The 14,561-nt window shown below is 45.1% G+C and overlaps 1 long non-coding RNA gene across 1 annotated transcript, besides 1 other annotated feature; it reads right to left on the bottom strand.

The window, feature by feature from the left end:
• Window positions 1-673: 673 nt before the first annotated feature.
• Window positions 674-14,147, bottom strand: LOC100134868 (uncharacterized). The gene is made up of 5 exons (NR_004846.3): window positions 14,057-14,147; window positions 5,034-5,114; window positions 4,744-4,870; window positions 4,022-4,117; window positions 674-3,310 (listed from the first exon to the last, which is right to left on the bottom strand). It is a non-coding gene; the product is annotated as an uncharacterized LOC100134868 (long non-coding RNA).
• Window positions 13,718-14,337: an enhancer, noted in NCBI's record as "H3K27ac hESC enhancer chr20:25990245-25990864 (GRCh37/hg19 assembly coordinates)". NCBI's record gives its function as "activates a minimal SCP1, AML or CMV promoter by ChIP-STARR-seq in naive H9 embryonic stem cells {active_cell/tissue: H9 hESC(naive)}" and the evidence as "EXISTENCE:reporter gene assay evidence [ECO:0000049][PMID:30033119]".

Below are 14,561 nucleotides of genomic sequence, written 5' to 3'. Positions count from 1 at the left end.
GGCCACTGTAGCCTCAACCTCCTGGGCTCAAGTGATCCTCCCTCCTCAGCCTATGTAGTAAGCTGAGACCACAGGCATGCACCAATATGCCCACCTAATTAAAATTTTTTTGTAGATATGTGTGTCTCACTATATTGCAGAGACTGGTCTTGAACTCCTGGGCTCAACTGATCCTCCCACCTTGGCCTCCCAAAGTACTGAGATTACAGGTGTGAGCCACTGTACTCAGCTGATAAAATCTTAAAAAGAGGAAAATACTTTGGGGCCTAATGTAAAATTTCCACCGAGATGATGCGTCAGAAATTAAGGTAGAATAAGATGTCCCTAGGGCATCAAAACAACAAAACTTAATCTTGGGCTGGGTGCGGTGGCTCATGCCTGTAATCACAGCAATTTTGGAAACCAAGGTGGGGGACTCACTTGAGGTCAGAAGTGTGAGACCAGTGTAGCCACCATGGTGAAACGCTGTCTCTACTAAAAATACAAAAATTAGCCTGGAGGTTGCACTGAGCCAAGATTGTGCCAATACCCTCCAGTCTGGGCAACAGAGGGAGATTCTGTCTCAAAAAAAAAAGAAGAGGAAGAAGAAAGAAAATCTTAATTTCTTCGTCAAATGTAAAAACTATGGACTGGACTCTGGAGGAATAATACACAAAAAGACAGATAGGCACTATTTTTTTGAAGTTTTATTGAGAAATATTGATAACATACCACAGAAGCCACTGATTTAAAGTGTAAAATTCAGTGGTTTTCAGTATATTTGCACTGTTATGCAAACATCACCACAATAAATTTTAGATCATTTTCATTACCCTGAAGTAAACACCATATCCCTCCATTTCCCCCCAACTCCCCTAATCCTGGGCCACCACAAATCTACTTTCTGTTTCTATGTGTTGGTCTATTTTGGACATTTTATTTAAATGGAATTACATACCATGTGGTCCTTTGTGACCGGCTTCTTTCACTTAGCATAATATTTTCAAGGTTTATTCAATCTTGCATGTGCAAAGGGGGCACTTTACATAAGGATAAACCTGGAGTGGGGGGTACTTACTGATTGATTTGGAAACTTCCCTCCGAAATTGTAAAGGCTTTCAAATAGAGGAACAACCTATTCAGGCTAAAATCCTGTTTTCAGCAGTTTGTAATGTGGGGTTTTATTGCAAAGAATGGCAAGATTTTTGGGCTTATTTTCTGCAAATTCTCCCTGTGTTTGGGGAACAGTCACAGAATGTGGAGGAATGAGCTTCTAGGCTCTGTGGCTGCAGATTCATGTCCAGGAGAACTCAGGTCCCAGGATAGGCAGAGAAAAACAGTGTAAGAAGGCCAACAGAATGCTTTGAAATGGAAAATTTAAAATGTTCCCTCCAAAAGGAGTCCCAGATAACCACATAGAAGAGGACTTTGCTGGGCAGCTCCATCGCAATTGTTCAATACTAAGATACAGACAGACTGGGAAAGAAGGAAGTTTATTTCTGCAGCCACTTACAGGGAGAAGCGCCAGGTAAATCACCAGATCAACTCAAAGTTACAAGTTTTTTTTTCTAGTGCTTATATATATCTTAAGCTCCATGTGGGATTGCACCTACAAGCAGGAGTGTTTCATTCAATCAACATCTAATCTTTAACTCGGGTCTAGCGTCTGGAAAGATTTCCCTAGAGTCTTGGAAAGTTTTTGAATCTTAAGACAGGCCGAGGTGAATGTGTACGAACGCTATCATTATTCGATCAGATTTTAGGGTCTGAGAAAACCCAGACGGGGTCTCAGTGGGTTTGTTTTCACATTCCATCCGTGATACTCAGGCACCAGTTTCTCCATTTCTTTAACGTTAACTTATGCATTCATCAAAATTATAGTAAAGGGTTAGTAGAAACTGTTCTGGTTGCTATTGCAAACCTGGCCTGCCACAGGCACTGAAGCCCACTATAGAACATTGAAAATGCCTGCAAACACTGACTTTACTGACCAGTCAATTAAATTGCAGAAAAGCAAGCTCACGCTGCCTCCCTGATCTGTCCTCCAGAATTGCTAGTTAGAAACGTTCACATTGTCCTAGGTTCAGTTTTGCAAAGATGGAGCCTGGCAGTGAAAGCATTTGTTTGAGTTCATGCATTAAGATTTGCTTTGTCTATTTCTTTTATATTTATTTATTTATTTATTTATTTATTTATTTTTGTGATGGAGTTTCAATCCTCTTGCCCAAGCTGGAGTGCAATGTGGCGGTCTCGGCTCACTGCAACTTCCGCCTCCTGGGTTGAAACTGTTCTCCTGCCTCAGCCTCCAAAGTAGCTAGGATTACAGGCATGCGCCACCATGCCCGGCTAATTTTTGCATTTTTAGTAGAGATGGGGTTTCACCATGTAGGCCAGGATGGTCTTGAACTCCTGAGCTCAGGCAATCCACCCGCCTCAGCCTCCAAAATGCTGTGATTACAGGCATGAGCACCCTCGGCCGGCCTATTTTATTTTAAGATGGAGTCTTGCTCTGTCGCCCAGGCTGGAGCGCAGTGGCACGAGCTCGGCTCACTGCAACCTCTGTCTCCGGGATTCAAGCGATTCTTGTGTCTCCGCCTCACAAATAGCTGGGATTACAGGCTCCCGCCACCATGCCTGGCTAATTGTTTATTTTTAGTAGAGAAGGGGTTTCACCATGTTGGCCAGACTGGTCTCGAACTTCTGACCTCAAGTGATCTGCCCGCCTCGGCCACCAAAAGTGCTGGAATTACAGGCGTGAGCCACCATGCCCGGCCCTATTTCCTTTATTTTATTTATTATTTCGAGAAGGAGTTTCGCTCTTGCCATCCACGCTGGAGCGCAGTGGCGCGATCTCGCCTCACTGCAACCTTCACCTCCTGGGTTCAAGCGATTCTCCTGCATCAGCCTCCGGAGTAGCTGGGATTACAGGCGCATGCCACCACGCCCAGCTACATTTCCTTTATTTTATTTTTTATAATTTACTACCCTGTTTGTTGATGACAAGACTGGCTGTGCACAAGGTTGGGTCTCGGTGCTCACCGGGAGCCGGGCATGGACCAGGTGGGAGGTTCTCCAGTGCCTGATACAAATCTGCAAGAAAGCGCAGGAAACGGCACTAAAGGTAGGCGTTCCAGCGCAGAAATGCGCAGGAATGGTTTTCCTGTGCTTGTAGGGAGGTCATCCCCAAGCGTTTCTTATTGGCTTCCAGTGAGACAAGATCACACCACTGCACTCCAGCCCGGGCTACAGAGTGAGACTCTGTATCCAAAAAAAAAAAAAGAGTGCTGAATGAATATCCATTGATGCATGAAATGGCTGCATTAAAGGAAAACTAGACAAGAAAAGACAAGGCAAAAAAAAGTCAAGGATCAGTATGAAAAATAAATATATTCTAAAAGATTTGTTTTTAAAGCAACTACATGGGTTTAAATTTTAAAGGGAAAGAAGTAGCTCCAAGATAGAGGAAACAGGATGGCTTCTGAAGAAGGGAGCATTATTCTTTGAAATGGAAAGAAATTATGACAAGAGGGTAGCACAGACTGTCCAAGAGGTGGAGGTAAAAGGGGGTTCTTGGCCAGACACAGTGGCTCACACCTGTAATACCAGCACTTTCAGAGGCCAAGGCAGGTGAATCACCTGAGGTCAGGAGTTCGAGGCCAGCCTAGCCAACATGGTGAAACGCCTTCTCTACTAAAAATACAAAAATTAGCTGGGCATGGTGGCAGGTGCCTATAATGCCAGTTCCTTTAGAGGCTGAGGCAGGAGAATCGCTTCAACCCGCGGGTGAAGGTTGCAGTGAGCCGAGATTGCATCACTGTTCTCCAGCCTGGGTGACTGAGAAAGAATCTCTCTCAAATTAAAAAAATTAAAAAAAATGTGTGTGGTGGGGGTATCTTGACTTTCCTCCATGTGTCTTAGGCCACAACTCTTACATGGGACCTTGCAGAAGAGATTCCTCAACCAATACCTTTATGGTGCTGCCTCCCTGATGGGCTGGGTTCTAAACAGCAGTGCCTTCCCCATCTGCTCAGTCCTTACTCACCTGGGCACCATCCTCCTGGTACGTCCCTTGAAACCATGCAGGACTCTTTCCCTTGCTCCAGTAAGGAAATCACATCAGGCTTTGGGATAGAGAGACCTGTTTATAAGAAAAGAAGTAAGATGGCCAGGCATAGTGGCTCACTCCTGTAATCCCAGCACTTTAGGAGGCCAAAACAGGTGGATTGCTTGAGGTCAGGAGTTCAAGACCAGACTGACCAACATGGTGAAATCCCGTCTCTACTAAAAACACAAAAATTGCCCAGACATGGTGGCCAGTGCCTGTAATCCCAGCTACTCAGGAGGCTGAGACGTGAGAATTGCTTGAACCCAAGATGAAGGTTGGAGTGAACCGAGATCGCACCATTGCACTCCAGCCTGGGCGATAGAGTGAGACTTCATCTCAAAAAAAAAAAAAAGAAAGAAAGAAGAAAAAGAAAGAAAGAAAGTAAGTAAAAAAGAAGGAAAGAAAGAAAGAAAGAAAGAAAAGAAGTAAGACATACTCCTGCTGTTCCTGAATTCAAAGTTAGTCCCTTAGTACTCACGAAGGACTAGAGGAAGGTGTAAAGGTCTGAAGCATGGAGAAGATGGAAGGACCCCAAAGAGCTGCCCATCTATTAATCTACTAAACACAAAACAATTCCCTAGGCAGCAGGTGAAAAGTCACCCAGACAAGTGAAAGCTACAGCCAAAACTCATGAGTTATTTGGGGATAGACATCCTTACCTAGTGAGACCAGGCTGCTATAGTTCTCCATCATTACATCTCTCTATAAGTCCTTCTGAGCAGTGTCCAGGCCCTCCCATTCCTCCTGAGAGAAGTCGATAGACAGATCCTGGAACATGCCCAACCCCTGAAATGACAAACCCAGGCAGCGCTGTTGAAATTAAAGGAAAGGTTTTTAAGATGAAGGAAGAGATGGAAGGGTGCTGAAGGATGGAGAGAATGTAGTGTGCAGACCGGCTAGGCTGAGAGTGGGGAAGAGTAAAAAAATTAGTGTGACTTCAACAAAGTACCTTCATGTTCATGAATATTCCTGTTGTGGCTGACAAACCTCCTTCACAGAAAGGGACATTCCCAGTATTCCATGGTTAGAGCTGGGAATGAATAAAGTACATTGATATATTATTTCCCAAATAAATGAAATAGAGTTGAAAAGCACACAGCAAGCTGTAGGCTTGGCAAAGCTTCAAGAATATTACAGTAAACATCTGATATGCAAGTTACTATTTACAACAAAAGCTTAATAAATAGGCACTTCCCCCTTACCATTTTCTTTCTTGTTTTTTTTTCTCTTGTTTCATTTTTTTGTTTTTGTTTTCACTTTGAGACAGGGTCTCATTCTGTTGCCCAGGCTGGAGTGCAGTGGCACAATCACAGCTCACTGCAGCCGCAACCTCCCAGGCTCAGGTGATCCTCTCACCTTAGCTTTGATTAGCTTTGATTATAAGCGTGCGCCACCATGTCCAGCTAATTTTTTTTTTTTTTTTTAGTAGAAATGAGGGTTTGCCATTTGGCCAGGCTACTCTCAAACTCCTGAGCTCAAGCAATCCACCTGCTTTGGCCTCCCAAAGTGCTGGGATTACAGGCATGAGCCACCACACCCAGCCTTGTCTCTTTTCTTAAAGGAAGACAGGATCTTTCAAAAATATCTACAAAAAGGTTAAAAACCTCTATTGGCCGGGCACAGTGGCTCACACCTGTAAACCCAGCACTTTGGGAGGCCAAGGCGGATGGATCGCCTGAGGTCAGGAGTTCGAGACCAGTCTGACCAACATGGAGAGACCATTTTAGTCTCTATTAAAAATATAAAATTAGCTGGGTGTGGTGACACATGTCTGTAATCCCAGCTACTTGGGAGGCTGAGGCAGGAGAATCGCTTGAACCTGGGAGGTGGAGGTTGCAGTGAGCCGAGATCGCACCACTCACTCCAGCCTGGGCAATAAGAGTGAAACTCTGTCTCAAAAGAAAAACAACAACAACAACAACAAAACCTCTATTGCACTTTGATAATTAGTACTTCCATAAAATAGTATAGATAGCACTTCGATAATTAAATGTACATTGGCTGGGTGTGGTAACCCACACCTGTTATCACAGCACTTTGGGAGGCCAAGGCAGGTGAATTGCTTGAACTCAGGAGTTCAAGATCAACCTGGGCAACATGGCAAAACCCTATCTCTACAAAAATACATATCATATACAAATTAGCCAGATGTAGTGGGACATGCCTCTAGTCCCAGCTACTTGGGAGGCTGAGGTGGGAGGGTTGCTTGAGCCTAGGAGGTCAAGGCCGCAGTGAGCTGTGATCCTGCCACTGCACTCCAGCCTAGGCACCAGAGCAAGATCCTGTCTCAAAAAAAAAAAAAAAAAAAAAGGCCAGGTGCGGTGGCTCACGCCTGTAATCCCAGAACTTTGGGAGGCTGAGTAGGGCAGATCATGAGGTCAAGGGATCAAAACCATCCTGGACAACATGGTGAATCTCTGACTCTACTAAAAATACAAAAATTAGCTGTGCATGGTGGCACGTGCCTGTAGTCCCAGCTACTCGGGAGGCTGAGGCAGGAGAATTGCTTGAACCCAGATGGTGGAGGTTGCAGTGAACCAAGGTCATGCCACAGCACTCCAGCCTGGTAACAGATGGAGACTGCATCTCAAAAAAAAAAAAAAAAAGAGTGGGTATCATGGTAGGAATAAACTGCACACAGGTCAGACAAAAGTTACAAGGGCATCTGCCAGTATAAACAAGTTTCCTGTGAGACACCTGGTCATGGGTCAGATACTTGAGCATTAGGCTGTGGTCCAGGAAAAAGAAATGTCCAGTGAAAGGCTACTCTAAAGACCCACAGGCCCCTCCCCTAGAGCCCCATTAGAGTGAGGTAGAGTTTATAGCCATTCTCCTGAGAGACCTCAAGACCTAATTAGAAGAAAACTATAACATTTGTTATATAGAAGGCATTTTCCAAAGACTAGTTCAAAGATGAAAGATATAGTCTTCCTTTGGATATAAAACAAAATCTCAAGATACACCAAAACTGTTTTGCTTTTACTGAATAATTTTTGTGCATATGTGTTTAGCTGCAAGTGCCTAACAAGCTGTGATTTTCTTTCCTTTCCTTTCCCTTTTTTTTTGTCTTGAGACAGCCTTGCTCTGTCACCCAGGCTGAAGTGCAGTGGCCTGATCTTGGCTCACTGCAACCTCAGCCTCCCATAGCTGGGATTACAGGTGCCTGCCACCACACCCAGCTAATTTTTGTAATTTTAGTAGAGACGGGGTTTCACTGTGTTGCCGAGGATGGTCTCGAACTCGTGGCCTCAAGTGATCCACCCACGTTGGGTCCCAAAGTACTAGGATTACAGGCATGAGCCACCATGCCTGGCCAACTCTGATTTTCTAACTTGCCTCATGTATTAGGTTCATACTGGGAAAAAAACAGGTCAGAGCCATTGGAGCCACGTGTACAGATGTGCAGTAGCTCTGCTAGTAACACTGCTGCTTTCTTCGGCTCTTAAGACAGATGAGTTCAGCACGTGTCTGCCCTTGCTCTAGCTGTCTCTGATTCCCCCCAACAGATCCACAATCATGTCACTCAGTTAGATTCACTTTGGATATCCCATCATTAGATTAAAACCAGCAGGTCAAAAAGATAACCTGAGGAAATGCTTTCACATCCACAGTGTTCTCATAGGGCAAGTATCATTTAGACATGTCAGGACCGTGGTTGCAGAGGACAGAATGAAGTGTCATCCTTAACTGGCCATCCAATGTCATCAGCAAGAACAGGAGGACTTTATAGGATATTATCTGATGTTTTCTGAATATTACCTTACAAATGCTGCTTTACTTATAACTTAAGAATAGGGACCCTGTCTTTTAAAGCTTTATACATCCTCAAGTAAAGGTTTTTCATATTAAATCCATTAATAATATCTAAAGGCCGACCTGGAAATTCCATTTCTAAGTATTTATCCAAAGTAAAGATTTTTTTTTCTTTTTTTGAGACGGAGTTTTGCTCTTGTTGCCCAGGCTGGAGTGCAGTGGTGTGATCTCGGCTCACTGCAACTTCTGCCTCCTGGGTTCAAGCGATTCTCCTGCCTCACCCTCCTGAGTAGCTGGGATTACAGGCACGCAGCACCACGCCCAGCTAATTTTGTATTTTTAGGAGAGACAGAGTTTCTCCATGTTAGTCAGGCTGGTCTCAAACTCCTGACCTCAGGTGATCAACCCACCTTGGCCTCCCAAAATGCTGGGAGTACAGGTGTGAGCCACCACGTCCTGCCAAGAATTTTTTTTTTCTTGAGACAAGTCTCAATCTGTTACCCAGGCTACAGTGCAGTGAGGTGATCACAGCTCACTGCAACCTCTGCCTCCTGGGTTCAAGTGTTTTTTGTGACTCAACCATCAAAGTAGCTTGGAATACAGGCACACACCACCATACCTGGCTAATTTTTTTTTTGTATTTTTGGTAAAGAGCAGGTTTTACCATGTTGGCCAGGCTGGTCTCAAACTCCTGGCCTCAAGCAAGGCCACTTTGGGAGGCCAAGGTGGGCAGATCACCTGAGGTCAGGAGTTCAAGACCAGCCTGGCCAACATGGTGAAACCCTGTCTCTAATTAAAATACAAAAGGTAGCCAGGTGTGGTAGCAGGTGCCTGTAATACCAGCTACTGGGGAGTCAGAGGCAGGAGAATCACTTCAGCCTGGGAGGCGGAGGTTGCAGTGAGCCGAGACTGTGCCACTGCACTCCAGCCTGGGCAACAGAGCCAGACTGTCTATCAAAATATAAATAAATATAAAAATACAAAAAAGCTGGACACAGTGGCTCATGCCTGTAATCTCAGCGCTTTGGGAGGCCAAGGCAGGTGGATGACTTGAGATCAGGAGTTCCAGACCAGACTGTCCAACATGGCAAAACCCTGTCTCTACTAAAAATACAAAAATTAGTCGGGTGTGGTGGCTCACCCTCTAATCCCAGCTACTTGGGAGGCTGAAGCAGGAGAATCACTTGAACCTGGGAGGCAGAAGTTGCAGTGAGCAGAGTTCATGCCATTGCACTCCAGCCTGGGCAACAAGAGTGAAACTGCATCTCAAGAAAAAAAAAAAAGAATACAAAAAATTAGCAGGGTGTAGTGGCGCATGCCTGTAATCTAGGCTACTTGGGAGGCTGAGGCAGGAGAATTGCCTGAACCTGGAAGGTGAAGATTACAGTGATAAGACTGCACCACTGCACTCTAGCCTGGGTCACAAGAGCCAAGAGCGAGAATCCATCTAAAAAAAAAAAAGAGTTTCTATTTGGGGTGCAAAACAAAAGAAATGGAGTGAAAGGGATGTAAGGAAATTGAAAGTCAACAGGCTAATAATGCCAATAAATAATGATGGAGCAAAGAAATCAGTATTGGCCAAATAAAACCAACGTGTTTTGTAATATTTTTTCAAAATTTAGACAAAGTTTTCCAGTACACTGAGACACTTCTACTATCAAGACTATAATATTGGCTGAACACAGTGGCTTATGCGTATAATCCCAGCACTTTGGGATGCCAAGGCAGGAGGATTGCTTGATCCCAGAAGTTCAAGTCAAGCCTGGGAAATATAGGGAGACACCGTCTCTGCAAAAATTAAAATAAAATAAAATAAAATAAAATAAAATAAAATAAAATAAAATAAAATAAAATAAAATAATAATAAAATAAAATAATTAAAATAATAAAATAAAATAAAATGCCAGGCATGGTGGTATACCTCTGTGAGCTGTGACCACCCCACTGCACTCTAGGCTTGGTAACAGAGCAAGAAAGACCCTGTCTCAACAAAAACCTAGAATATAGAATAAATGACATTTGGGTAAGTGGAATATTAGGTGTTCAATAAACATAGGTTATTCCCTCCCTATCTCCATAGAATCATCAATTTTATTTTAAAAGAGAAGTTTTGATTAGAATCCAAAAATATCAATACTTCTCTTTCCAAAAAAGGAGGGAGGATTTAAATATAACAATTTCTTGGTTATTTCTATTTATTTTCATGGTTGCTTAATATTACTCAGTAACAAATATGCAATTGCTCTCTTTCAAACGTAGTTTTAATTAGTTGCACAAAATGCCAACTTATAGTCTGATGTACTTCAAATTTCCCTATCTATGAAAGCTAAATTTGGATATTATCATCTCAAGAATATTATAATCTCTGTCTTTAAATCTATCTGGGGTTCTACCTTTTCTGTAAGCCTTAGTGAATCTCACTATAGTCCTCCTTCCCTTTAAAAATGCAGTGATAGGCCGGGTGCAGTGGCTCTTCCCTGTAATCCCAGAACTTTGGGAGGCTCAGGTGGGAAGATTGTTGGAGCTCAGGAGTTCAAGACCAGACTGGGCAACATGGCAAAACCCCGTCTGTGCAAAAATTACAAATATTAGCCTGGCATGGTGCCATATGCCTATACTCCAGATACTTGGGAGGCTGAGGAGGGAGGATCCCTTCAGCCCCAGAGGTCAAGGCTGCAGTATGCCCTGACCCTGCCACTGCACTTTTGGAGGCCAAGGCAGGTAGATCACCTGAGATCAGGAGTTCGTGACCAGCCTGGCCAATACGGTGAAACCCTGTCTCTACTAAAAATACAAAAATTGGTCTGGTGTGGTGGCGGGCACGTGTAATCCCAACTATTCAGGAGGCTGAGACAGGAGAATCACTTGAATCTGGGAGGTGGAGGCTGCAGTGAACCAAGATTGCACCACTGCAGTTCAGCCTAGGCAAGGCAGAGTGAGACTCTGTCAAAAAAAAAAAAAAGAAAGAAAGAAAGAAAGAGAAAGAAAGAAAGAAAGAAAAAGAAAATCAGTGATAGGTGAGGCAGCTCATGCCTGTAATCATAGCACTTTGGAGGCAGAGGGGGAGGATCACTTGAACTCAGGAGTTCAAGACCAGCCCAGACAACATAGTGAGTCTTCTTCTCTACTGTAAATTATTTTTAATTACACCATAGTGCTAGTGTGTGCCTCTGGTTTCAGCTTATTTGGCAGGCTGAGGTAGAAGGATCTCTTGGGCATAGGAGATCAAGGCTGCAATGAGCTGAGATCGTGCCACTGAACTCCAGCCTGGGAGACAGAGTGAGACTCTACCTCATAAATAAAAATAAATACATAAATAAAAATTCAGCGATGGAGTTGATGGATTTGAGGTTGAGGACCCCCAATGTGAACCCATTTGGAAAAAACTCAACCTGTGTTCTTCCTCTGCTTCACACCAAAAACACAACAATCTACCCAGAAGACTTCTGTGGCCTCAAAATATGAGGCGATTTCTCCCTTTCACCAAGCAAGGAATCAGTTCTGCAGCAGACACCAGCTGGGTGTCCACCAATTCGATTCTGACACTATCTGCCATAAGACAGTGTCACCTCACAGATTGAGGGCTCAGCCCCCAAAACTGCCCCCCTTTCAGACACCAGTCACAAGTCCCAGCCTCTGGAACTTCTGACTGATGGGTTTAATTTGGGGTTCCTATGACCTCCTCTTTGGTTTGATTAATTTGCTAGAATAAAATGGCTCACAAACCTCACGGAAACACATTTACTATTTGATTATAAGGATATTCCAAAGGATATAGATGAAGAGATGCCTAGCACGAGGTATGGGGGAAGGGGCACAGAGCTTCCATCCCCTCCCTGGGCACAACCCTCCAGGAACCTCCATGTGTTCAGCTCTCTGGAAGCTCTCCGAATCCACTCCTTTGGGGTTTGTAAGGTGGCCTCATTACATATGCATGATTGATTAAACCATTAGCCACTTGCCATCAACTTAATCCTCAGTCCCCTCCACTCCCCAGGGGTGGGAGGGTAGGGGCTGAAAGTCCCAACCCTCTAATCCTGCCTTGGTCTTTCTGATGACCAGTCCACATCCTGAAGCTATCGGTCAATCACTAACATATAAAAAGCCAAAGCCTGGGTGCGGTGGCTCACGCCTGTAATCCCAACACTTTGGGAGCCCGAGGCAGGCAGATCACTTGAGGTTAGGAGTTCGAGACCAGACTGGCCAATATGGTGAAACCCCGTCTCTACTAAAGAAGAAAACAAAGACAAAAATTAGCCGGGCATGGTGGCACATGCCTGTAGTCCACTCGGAAGGCTGAAGCAGAAGAATTGCTTGAACCCGGGAGGCAGAGGTTGCAGTGAGTGGAGATTGCGCCACTGCACTCCAGCCTGGGTTACAGAGCAAGACTCCGTTTCAAAAAAAAAAAAAAAAAAAAAAAAAAAAAAACAGCAAGCCCTTAGGACATTCCAAGGATTTTAGGAGTTGTATGCCAGGAAATAGGGACAAAGACCAAATTTGTATTTGACAAAATCACAGAACCGTATGAGTATTTAATTCAATACAGGCATGGAAACTGGCCCAAGCATTTACTCACAGATGACTGGGCAAATCCCTGGTCCTATGGGTACAAACTATTGATCAAACCCCCAATCTCATTCCTACCCCTAAAATATAGCAACGTGAAAGATCTTATTACCTATTTGGACTGAGATTAACACCATCCCTTAAACTGCATGGCTTTCAATCCCAGGGCTATGGCGTGTGATGCCACATAGAATATGCATGAATCTTCTCTCCAACAATTGAGTTGTTAGGATAAAGGCTCTTGTCTTTGCCTTCTTTCTCTCACAGCCAAGAATATTAAGGAACGTGGACACAAAGAATGAGTTTGGAACAGAAGTTTAATAAGCAAAAGAAGAAAGCTCTCCCCAGCAGAGAGGGGACCCGAAAGAGGGTTGCCAACTAGGAGGCTGAATCTGGGGGTTTTGTGAACTGGGAAGAGGAAGAATGTGCTCACTGGTCTGTGAGCTGTCTTGGAGATAGCACGACTTCGCTTGGCCCGGGACCTTAGCCTGGGACCAATCAGAGGCTGAAGTGAAATTTTGGCCCAAGACCAATCAGGGGCTGAAGTGAAAGTTTGGCCCAGGACCAATCAGAGGCTGAAGTGATGATTCATAGAGGCTCGGCTCACAGTCCAAAGCATGTCCAGAAAACAAAGTGGCCGCCGGAGCCTGTTAGTCCAAGCTGCACCGATTTGTAAGCCCCCACCATTTCACAGACCCTGTTCAGAGGGAAACATTCCACTGGGGTTTGGGCTGCGAGAAACATCCTCCCCAACCGCCTGACTTCCTTATCACATCCTGCTGGGGAAAGGCCCAAGAAACATCCTTACCAACATTCTCCCAGGCAACAAGCTATACTGCCCAGACCCCTCCTGCCCAGGCCTATAATTACTCCAGCTTGTAAGCGGCAGTGGGCTCTGGCATTTAGTTGGTCCCCTCCATAGAGCCGCCAACTCTCTTTCTTTAACCTTCGCCTTCCCTTCAAAATCTAACAGAGCCCACTGTATACATGCCCACAAAAAAGCGACTATTTCCTGGAAGCCCGCTGGTCACACAAAGGACAAAGGCATTTCTATGTTGGGCCTCGGTCCCTTATCAGTGCAGCTGAGGAATGTCTTTAGGACAACCCCCTTTGCTAGTTTTCCTTCTCTGTGCCTGCAGCCTGATTTTTCTGGCTGTTTCTCTGTTTAAAGGAGTTTTACCAAGGACCCGCTCTAACTCCCTAAAGGTTTTTTTCTCTCAAGGGGACACACAAAGTTCCAATCACACACATGCCTCCCTATATCCACTTACCCTCTGCCTCACAGCCAGTCACACTCTCCTCTCTCACACAGACCACGGGGCCACACAAGTTGCACCTGCACAGCCACAGACCTGCAACTCACGCACACACAGTACTGCACACACACGCAAAGTCACACATCCACCCTGGGACACGCAGCCCCAACCACACAGTCACCGGTTGTCCACATCCGCACACACAACGCGGCTCGTCCAGGACACACACATCCACTCCGAGCGCGCACAGTCACAAGCGCCCACTTGATCACCCAGAGTCAGCACCACGCAGCCACAGTCACAGACCACGAAGACCCACGGCAACCATGGCAATCACACACGCAAACTCCTCTCCTCAGCCCTCCACACACAAAAGGACCGGAGCCGGATTCCTCACCCTCAGCTTTCTCCAGTTCCGCTCGGGGCCAGCCTGGCCAAGTTACTCCGGACTCCAAGGCGCGGCAGCAGCTAATTGGGCACAGCGAAAGAATCTGCCACCTGGCTAAGAGGAAGCCGAAATCTCGCGAGACGTGGTATTGGCCTGCAGAATCCTCCGGGAAATGTAGTCCAGAGCCCGACTGCTCCCCTACTAAAAATACAAAAATTAGCCGGGCCTGGTGGGCGCCTGTAATCTCAGCTTCTTGGAAGGCTGGGACAGCAGAATCGCTTGAACCCGGGAGGTAGAGGTTGCAGTGAGCCGGGATCGCGCCGTTGCACTCCAGCCTGGGTGACAGAGCCAGACTCCGTCTCAAAAAAAAGTAAGCAGACATGTCTGCTGCCCACATGAGGTTTACATTCTTGTCTGGAGAAAAAAAAAAGATTTTAAATTAAAAGGGGAAAATGAAGTAATTTTATATTGTGATAAATACTATGAAATATATCAATAGGTGGTATAAGCAGTA

The sequence above is a fragment of the Homo sapiens genome, chromosome 20, assembly GCF_000001405.40.
Source record: "Homo sapiens chromosome 20, GRCh38.p14 Primary Assembly".
Lineage (NCBI taxonomy): Eukaryota > Metazoa > Chordata > Mammalia > Primates > Hominidae > Homo > Homo sapiens.
Note: the sequence above shows the minus strand (reverse complement) of the source record. Positions and strands in the feature narration are given on the sequence as shown.